This window comes from Homo sapiens, chromosome 21 (genome assembly GCF_000001405.40).
Source record: "Homo sapiens chromosome 21, GRCh38.p14 Primary Assembly".
Taxonomy (NCBI): domain Eukaryota; kingdom Metazoa; phylum Chordata; class Mammalia; order Primates; family Hominidae; genus Homo; species Homo sapiens.
The window spans coordinates 25,686,132-25,696,330 of record NC_000021.9 but is presented as its reverse complement, the minus strand read 5'-3'; the positions used below and the strand labels follow the sequence as shown (position 1 = coordinate 25,696,330).

At 40.4% G+C, this 10,199-nt stretch overlaps 1 protein-coding gene and 1 pseudogene across 4 annotated transcripts in view; both read right to left on the bottom strand.

Moving 5' to 3' along the window:
- The window catches only part of JAM2 (junctional adhesion molecule 2), a 78,305-nt gene that overhangs the window by 21,232 nt on the left and 46,874 nt on the right, over window positions 1-10,199 (bottom strand). For 3 of the 4 annotated variants that reach the window (NR_072999.2, NM_021219.4, NM_001270408.2), the window contains exons 3-4: window positions 6,358-6,465; window positions 2,423-2,575 (exon numbers count right to left, since the gene is read on the bottom strand). Coding sequence is in view for 3 of the 4 variants with exons in the window: in NM_021219.4 (NP_067042.1) it covers window positions 2,423-2,575; window positions 6,358-6,465 (261 nt within the window). In the remaining variant the exon portion in view is untranslated. The remainder of the gene's footprint in view (window positions 1-2,422; window positions 2,576-6,357; window positions 6,466-10,199) is intronic. The other variant, NM_001270407.2, reaches the window with a different exon arrangement.
- FDX1P2 (ferredoxin 1 pseudogene 2) lies at window positions 3,191-4,152 on the bottom strand (annotated as a pseudogene).

Here is a 10,199-nt window from a genome sequence, read left to right as displayed (position 1 = left end):
ATCTCGGCTCACTGCAACCTCCCTGCCTGATTCTCCTGCCTCAGCCTGCCGAGCGCCTGGGATTGCAGGCGCGCGCCGCCACGCCTGACTGGTTTTCGTATTTTTTTGGTGGAGACGGGGTTTCGCTATGTTGGCCAGGCTGGTCTCCAGCTCCTAACCGCGAGTGATCTGCCAGCCTCGGCCTCCCGAGGTGCCGGGATTGCAGACGGAGTCTCGTTCACTCAGTGCTCAGTGTTGCCCAGGCTGGAGTGCAGTGGCGTGATCTCGGCTCGCTACAACCTCCACCTCCCAGCCGCCTGCCTTGGCCTCCCAAAGTGCCGAGATTGCAGCCTCTGCCTGGCCGCCACCCCGTCTGGGAAGTGAGGAGCGTCTCTGCCTGGCCACCCATCGTCTGGGATGTGAGGAGCCCCTCTGCCTGGCTGCCCAGTCTGGGAAGTGAGGAGCGCCTCTTCCCGGCCGCCCATCTTCTGAGATGTGGGAAGCGCCTCTGCCCCGCCGCCCGGTCTGGGATGTGAGGAGCGCCTCTGCCCGGCCGCGACCCCGTCTGGGAGGTGAGGAGCGTCTCTGCCCGGCCACCCCGTCTGAGAAGTGAGGAGCCCCTCCGCCTGGCAGCCGCCCCATCTGGAAAGTGAGGAGCCCCTCCGCCCGGCAGCCGCCCCGCCCCGTCTGGGAAGTGAGGAGCATCTCCGCCCTGCCGCCGCCCCATCCGGGAGGGAGGTGGGGGGGCGCCTCTGCCCGGCCGCCGCCCCGTCCGGGAGGTGGGGGGCCCCTCTGCCCGGCCGCCCTGTCTGGGAAGTGAGGAGCCCCTCTGCCCCGCGGCCGCCCCGTCTGGGAGGTGTACCCAACAGCTCATTGAGAACGGGCCATGATGACGATGGCGGTTTTGTCGAATAGAAAAGGGGGAAATGTGGGGAAAAGATAGAGAAATCAGATTGTTGCTGTGTCTGTGTAGAAAGTAGACATAGGAGACTCCATTTTGTTCTGTACTAAGAAAAATTCTTCTGCCTTGGGATGCTGTTAATCTATAACATTACCCCCAACCCCGTGCTCTCTGAAACGTGTGCTGTGTCCACTCAGGGTTAAATGGATTAAGGGCGGTGCAAGATGTGCTTTGTTAAACAGATGCTTGAAGGCAGCATGCTCCTTAAGAGTCATCACCACTCCCTAATCTCAAGTACCCAGGGACACAAACACTGCGGAAGGCCGCAGGGTCCTCTGCCTAGGAAAACCAAAGACCCTTGTTCACTTGTTTATCTGCTGACCTTCCCTCCACTATTGTCCTATGACCCTGCCAAATCCCCCTCTGCGAGAAACACCCAAGAATGATCAATAAATACTAAAAAAAAAAAAAAGAAAGAAAAAGGAAGGGGAGCTGTTTTAGTCTTGTAACTTGGTAGATTATACACCACCAATGAAAGAGAAGAGATCGTGTTCCTCCACAAACTACCATCTTGAGCTGTTACTATCAGTGATTCTTTTTATTTTTTTTTTTTTTGAGAAAGTCCTGCTGTCTCCCAGGTTAAAATGCAGTGGCACAATCATAGCTCATTGCAGCCTTGAACTCCTGGGCTCAAGTAATCCTCCAGCCTCAGCCTCCCAAGTAGCTGAGACTACAGGTGCATAACAACACAAATGGCTTTTTATTTATTTTTTTTTAGAGAGAGCGATATAGGGGACTCACTATGCTGCCCAGGCTGGTCTCAATCTCCCTGACCTCAAGGGATCCTCTCACTTCAACCTCCCAAAGTGGTGGGATTAGAGGCATAAGCCCCTGTGCCTAATCTATCCATGATTCTTATAGAAACTAAACATACTGGTTTTGGAGTTAACCCCATCTGGATTCAAATCTTAGTCCAGACACTTTCTAGCTGTATGGCCTTGTTAAATCATTTAACTTCCATTTGGTCATCTATAAAAATCATATTAATGAAGATGAAGTAAAATTACTTATGTGAAAAGGGCTAACATATCAGGTATATAATCAATGTCAATTTCCTTTATTTACCAAATGACTTCTAATCCTACCTTCAGTCTACTTTTTTGTGTGTTATTGCTTCTCCACCATCTCATGTGATACTACTTTAAATGGTTGGAGAAACTGTGTATATGCTGAAAACTATTGAAAAATAAACTCTCAGGAAAGATACTCCTATGTATATTGTAGGATCATTAGGAATTGCCTCCACCTTTAACAAAGAGATACTTTGTGATAACGCATTACTAAAATTTCAGCAGCCAATGAGGAGAGGGGGAGAAATGGCCAGGAGATTGCCAGGAAGGTGATGCTTATGGTCTCTGTAACTTGACTGGTTGAGGCTCCCAGTTGATGCTGGCATGTTTATGGACCAGTGCTTGCTTGCCCCCAGGGCTGGGTGGTGGAGAAGGAGTGGGAGACGTAGTCACACACATACATGCACATCACCTAATACTTCCAGAGTGACTGTATCCTCTTCCAGGTTTTGGCCTTGCTCAGATGGGGCACTAACTTCACAACGATATTTCCCCGCATCACTTCTTGTCACATTTTTGATCCGGATATTGAAATCTATCATCTCAGCTCGATTTTTAAAATCACCTTTTAGAAAAAGAAGACATTGATGTTAGTAATAATCCAAGTAGCTTTCTGTGTAATACCTTCCTCTAATCAGTTCATTTAGTAACCAAAGCATTTATTTCCCTTTTAATAAACTCAAGTTTAAAGCCTAAAAGTTGTATATAGATGCTGTTATTTAAAATTTTTCTTTTGGAAAGGACAGTTTTTAAAATGTTCAAAAGGCCAGGCATGATGGCTCACGCCTGTAATCCCAGCACTTTGGGAGGCCGAGGCCGGTAGATCACTAAGTCAGGAGTTCAAGACCAGCCTGGCCAACATGGTGAAACCCTGTCTCTACTAAAAATACAAAAAATTAGCTGGGTGTGGTGGCGGGCGCCTGTAATCCCAGCTACTGGGGAGTCTGAGGCAGGAGAATTGCTTGAACCCAGGAGGCGGAGGCTGCAGTGAGCCGAGATTGTGTCACTGCACTCCAACCTGGGCGACAGAGAGAAACTCAGTCTCAAAAAAAAAAAAAAATTCAAAAAAGCATAGTTTTATATTCTCATATTTTATTTCATTTTGATATCTAATTTTAGTTTACTGGCTAACTTTTTTGGCAGTGTTGTAATGCCTATGTTCAACCTTATACTTCTCACTGAATCAAAATTTTGAAATCTTTATGTGTAAGGTTAATAACTGTCAGTTAAGCAGTTCACTGAGCAATTAATGTTTTTGTCCATATGCAGTCAGATCTAATTGCTGCTGTAAGATAGTCATAATTTCTCCAGTTTCAGTCTAACATATACCTTATAGTAACAAGATGCAGGTGTGTACATATTTTCTAATTAGTTGGATGGCCCTTAACAAGCCATTTTAGGTCTTTGCCTTCACTCACATAAAACAGGGATAATAATATCTTTTTTAAAAAATTTACTTTCTAGGTAAGCAGACATAAGGCCATGTGAAAACATTTTGCTAAAAGTTGCTAAACAAACGTAAGGCAAAATTTGTAAGGTATTGTCATATTAATTATTTTCTAATATTTAACTGACCTTTTTCTAATGTAACAAATATAAAAATTGCGTATTTTCAGAACTATAAAATTCAGTAGTTATACAAGGTGAATTAAAACAGTAAAGTTGGTCATAATAATAAGTTCATTCATGTATGTTTTTATTTAATTATATTAAGAAATAATTATAAAATAGGTAAAATTTAGTGAAAGCATTGCTATTTATTCTGCTTAGGTGGTCTTGCCCATATCAGTGGATTGTCTGGCACTGGCCACTCCATCAGGTACTCAGACAGTCATATGGCCCATAGATTTTGTCAAACAGATTTGGCAATACAACTCTGACCTGTCTGTCAGTCCATATGCCAGATCAAGCATGTCAATCTCCTTGTCAGTGATTGTGTCTAACTTCTCAAATATGTGCTTTTCAAAAATGAGGTGACAGAGCAAGCCAAGGTTCCCTGCCATGCAACAAACCCATCAATATCTACATTATTTTCAACCACAACATCTAGCAAAGAGTCATCAACTTTTCCTTTGTTTGTTAATGTTTCACTGTTGGTTTATAAAGTGGACTGTTATTTTATCTTCCGAGCTGCTCTGGGCCTTCACTGACGTGTTTGATCTCTGGCTGACCCCAGTGCTCCCACCCCATCTCCGAGTGCCCAGCTCCCTGGCAGGCTGTCAGCTCTAGCATGGGCCCTGTGAGGAGCAGCTGCCAGCAGGCCTGGCCACTGAGGCCCTTCCACATTATGTATGTAAATTTTTTTTTTTTTTTTGAGACAGTCTTGCTCTGTTGCCCAGGCTGGAGTGCAGTGGCGTGATCTTGGCTTACTGCAAGCCATTCTCATGCCTCAGCCTCCCAAGCATCTGGGATTACAGATATGCACCACCACACTGGCTAATTTTCGTATTTTTAGTAGAGACGGGATTTCACCATGTTGGCCAGGCTGGTCTCGAACTCCTGGCCTCAAGTGATCCGCATGCCTTGGCTTCCCAAAGTGCTGGGATTACAGACATGAGCCACTGTGCCCAGCCCCATGTTATATTTTAAAGAATTGAGCTCAAATGCTTGCCTCATTCCCTTTCTAGTTCCCTTGTAAAAATATTCATGTCTTCAGAAAACCAGGGAGTCTGGTTTAATTGACTGGAACAGTAACTTTATGTGTGGTGGCTCACGTAACACTGCGGCACAAGAAAAGATGGTTAAAAACATTATTTTATTTTTTGATAGTAACATATTCAGAATTAAAATAGTGTTTTGCACCCGGTGTGGTGGCTTGCACCTGTAGTCCCAGCCAATTGGAAGGCTGAGTGGGAAGATTGCTTGAGGACAGAAGATTGAGGCCAGCCTTGGAACATGGCCAGATCTCATCTCTTTAAAAAAATGTAAAAATTAGGCAGGTACAATGGCTCAAATAAATAGTGTTGCATAAAATAATAGTTTTGCATTTCTGCATATGCCAGAAATGGCAACTACAAAAAATTCAAGTGAAGACAGCTGTGCTATTAACACCTTACAGCTAGTAGTCTTATCTTGACAGATAAGAACTTGAGCAGATATTTTAAATTTTCTATAAACTTCAAACATTTTCACTTAATTCTTTAACATTAAAGAAATACATAGTATTTTAAAATCATAACATGTTTATTTTAACTTGTAAAATTGTATTTCCAGCTTTAGAAATATTTATAATGGAAAGATTCAAGCATACACAACATTAGAAAGTGAAGTGAATTGTACCTCAATGTATCATTGACCAGCTATAATAGTAATCAATGCATGGTTTATCTTGTTTCATCTGTATCATTAACCACTGGTTTATTTTGAAGCAAATGGACATTATAACAGTTCATCCATCATTATCAATATTTTAAATTATAAGTTCATCACATATTCAATGGCAAGAGTAGGTAGTAGAAAGAAATGTATAACAAAAGAAAAAAAAGAAAAGAAAGCACTTGATAATGGTTGCTGTCATAACCCACCCATAAGTCTTAACTCCCTGAGCTTCTCAGTGGTGGCCTACCTTTCAAATGGAGTTAAGGAAATAGGGTGACAGCATTATGACTGAGAAGCAACCTTCCATTTCCAAACCACACCATTTTTTAATTCCTTTCCCTCAGGAGTTTATCTATAGCCAGGCAAGTGGCTCACACCTGTAATTCCAGTACTTTTGGAGACCGAGGCAGGAGGATGGGTTGAGCCCAGGAGTTCAAGACCAGCCTGGGCAACATAGGGAGACCTCACCTCATCTCTACAAAAAAATAAATAAATAAATAAAATTAAATTAGCTGAGCATACTGGTGTGCACCTGTAGTCCCACCTACTTGGGGACTGAGATGGGAGGATAACTTGAGCCCTGGAGGTGGAGGCTGCAGTGAGCCATGATCATACCACTGTGCTCCAGACTGGGCAAGAGAACAAAATCTTGAAAAAAGAAAGAAAGGCAAGAAAGGGAAGGAAGGAAGGAAGGAAGAGAAAGAAAGAAATAAAGAGAAAGAAAGAAAGAAGAGAAAGGAAGGAAGGAACGGAGTTTAATCTACTGAGCCAATAAGAGCAATTGCATTTTGCATACTTTATGCCTGAGTTGAGAGAGAAGAGTCCAGGGATTCAGTGGGCTTCACCTCCCTCTGTTCTCTGCTTTTGTGGCTATTGTGTTTTATGTCTCAGACATGGTTGCTTTCATCTCACACTTACAAAAACACATTTTCAGTAATCAGTCATGTCCGATCTCATTTGCCAATTAAAGGATCCTGGTTGTACTTGGCATTCTCTTGCTCACACCTCTTCAAGCCTACAGCTGCTTACCTTGAAGAGTCTGTTGATAGTAGACAAAGGAGACACTCCGACCCAGTTTCTTCCACTCTAATCTGGAGGAAACAGTCTTCTTTGGGGTTTTGCAGGCTAAAATAGCCTCTAGGAACAACAATAAAAATACTTGTTTTCTAATTGTCCCCATGAATTTATATTTTACTTAACTAGGTAACAAAATTGTAAACAACTTTAAATTACTCCTTTATAGTTTTATTCATTCATTCATTCATAAATTACATCAACAGGTCCCATGAATTGGAAGCCTTCTAGCTCTTCCACATAGTAACTGTATGACACTGTGCTTATTTCCCTGGTTATCAAGTTTGAGTTTTCATCTGTAAATGGGCTAGTATTTCACAGAGTTGTTGTGAGTCTTCAAATGCAATAAGATATGCAAAGCACACAGGCTTGGACATAGTAAGGACTTAACAAATGGCAGCTATGATTAACTATGTGTCTTATTATTCCCAGTGTCAGTCTTGAAGGAGTCTACCATCTGGTAGAAGAGGCAACTAAGATAATGGCGTTTCAGCCCAGTGTTGCTGAATACCAGCTATGCAGATGGTGATTCATGCTTAGTACCCAAGAAAGGCACTGAATCCAGCCAGGGACATGCTGGGAAACTCAGAAAAGTTTCCACAACATGCTATATTCTCACTCAGATCCCTTCTTTGTCAACCTTCTCTACAAATACATTAATACCTATCCAATATGGTCTCCTAATAAATCATTGATTTTTACCCCCAAACAACTGCCTATATAACCTTGCCTCAGTCCAGATAATTATTAAAGTATTAAATCTTAGCATCAAGTGTAACTGCCTCAATGTAGCTAAGTTCTTTTATTACAAGAAATTTACTGCAATTGTGTCATTAATACTTGGAGCCTCCAAAGGAACCCCCTTCTTTTCACTGTCCAAACGAGATGTCTGAGAGAAAAAAAAAAAAACAAAAAACCCAGTGCCAGTCTGGGAACTGCCTCAAGTTGCCAAATGGAAACCTCCAGTTATAAATATTTTTAAAAGTATTTTTTTAACCAGGCTCTCTAGAATGTCAATTCCATGTTTCTGAAATACTTTTTTCCCCACAAGGCATATGGTTTGACCTAAAAAAGCACAGTATCTTTGACCAGAAATTATTTTAAAATCCTTTTCATACCTTTGATTTTAATGTTAAGCAAATGAATGTTAAAAAAGAATGCAGAATATTTAGTTTCTAATTTTTTTCATTCCACACATATTGCTGGACATACAAAAATGGAATAAAAGGTAATGGAAAATAGAAAGTAGGGCAGAGAAAAGAAAGGCAAGGAAGAAAAGAACCAAAAGTTGTTTTCAAGAATGTCTAAAGTTTTTAAAGCAGGTTTTACATTACAAAGAGACATCATTTTACAGACATGTTTACAATTATGCTACAAAGACAAACGTGTGCTAAGGGACCTGTCTGAGGAAACACAGTTCTTTTCTGTTGATTAAGGAGAATGGGTGGTGACCTTCCGGAGTCTTGAGTTGTAGATAGGTTTCCTTCCGGTATTTTGTGAGTTTCCAACAATTAAACACACACCCACACTCATTTTTAGCCTATTCCTCATGTCTTCTGTGTCTTAAGAGTAATTTTACACTTAAATAATTGCATTGTTTTACATATTTAGATACGCATGTGTGTGTGCGTGCGTGTGGGCGCGTGTACACACACATACACACACACACACACACACACACACACCCCTCCTGGTGAATTCTTCCTAATTTCTGTCCTTATTGCGCTGTGGAAAAACCTCTATGAAACTTATACTAGAAAATATAGCAATAATTTTCCTAAGTCCAGTGACTTCACTCCAGCCTCTCTCTCGCTGGCCATGTAAAATGTCGAGAAATGGTTTATCCAATTCATCCAAAATAGGTTGAGTACTTACTGTCTGCCATGCATTGTTCTTGAGCTGTATCAGTGAACGAAACAAAGATCCTTGCCCTTTGGGATCTTACAATTTAACAGGGGAAGTCAGATAAACAAGAAACATAATAAAGTGAATTACTTAGTACGTTAGCAGTTGATGAGGGTTATGAAGACAAAAGAGAGCAGAGCAGAGTACAGGGGGTTTGCAAGTGCTAGGGACAGGGCTACAATTTTTGAAAAACAGTAGCCAGAGTTCACCTTATTTAGAAGGTGATATTTGACCAAAGGTTTAAAAGAGGGAGAGAATTCATTATATGGTTCTTTGAGAAAGAAGATCCCAAGCAAGGAAAGAGCCAGTGCCTAGGCCCTTGGGTACTAATGCCTTGATTTTGAACTTCTAGCCTCCAGAACCATGAGAGAATAAATTTCTATTGTTTTAAGTCACCTGGTTTGTAGTATTTTGTAATGGCAGCCATAAGAAACAAATGCAGAGAATAAAAATACTGGAATCATGGGGTCAATATCTGAGGATAAGGAAGTAAATGAACTTACAACCTAACTCTCATGAATTCTCTTCTCTCTCTTCAGCCAAAATTCAGTACTTATGCCAGCATAATTTTCTGTATCAGGCTTTAGGGTTATTGCGCTATAACATGGTAGCTTATAGCAGAGGCTTCAGAGTTAGACCTCTACCATATACTCCGTATGTGATATTGGGAGAATTACTTTTTTTGAACATTATATCCACATCTGTAAAATGATAAAAAGAACAGTACTCATCTTACAAAGTTGTCACTAAGATTAAAGAGACACTATATTTACATGTGTGATGCACATGGCACCACCTTACATATAGTATGTGCTCTGTAAATGGTCATTATTGTTTTCACCCTTGAAGAATTTCTCTTAGTTATAGTTGCAAGCTTGCCTTGACGTAGAAATATATACTTTATACCATCACAAATTTACCTATAAATCACTCCAATTTGAAATAAAATGTTATCTCTGTAGGAGATAGCAAAAAATATAGATATAAATTATATTTTCTCAACCTAAGGCATATTAAAAACAGGAAAATATGCCAAGTCTTTTCTATTAAGGGGATTATTTCATTGCCAAAATATCTATTTCCTTTAGATCAAGAAAAGAGAATTCTTTGTTTATAAAAAGCATTAGCAACAACATGTGGCAAAATAATCACATTTAGGAATCGCATAGATAGAATCATTATGAATTTTAATTTTCCTGGATTCTGTACTGCTAATTATCCTTTGATTTCATTCTCAGGGCTCAAGTTAAAAATCATCAAAATCATACATAACACAAAAAGAGAATTGATACTACCAAAATAGCTCTGACTTAGCAGAAATTACTTCTGTGAAGAAATGCTTGCTATTAAACTCTAATTTATAGCTTTCAGGTTTAGACTCCCTTTGCAGAGGGCTGCTCATGTAATTTACAAGCCTGGCAGAGCTGCCCTGATTTCAGTCTCCTTCTGCTCTTGGCACTATCATGGGAAGTGATACAGCACAGCAGCGCTGGAAAGAAGGAATTAATTCATAATTTCTTGACCTCAGAGAAACAAGGCATAACAAATGAACAAATAGGGTGAAACACACATACACATATACACAAATCATAAAATATTATAGACTTACGGCAAAATTAAGTTACTGCATCTAGTCCTAAGACTAAAATGTAGAAGAAACAGAAATGTATTTATGCCTTATGAAGAGCCAAAACTGGAATGATGGAGACACATATACAATAGAATTAAAATGAAATTCTTAATTAAAAAGAGGTGAGATGAAACAAGAAAATAGAAAACACTTATTTTGGAGTGAGATTAACATTTGCTTGCAATACATTATGGAAGGATTTTCTATATTAAAAATAAAACATGCATTAAAAAGTAATGCAGATGGGTACAGGGTTTTGTTT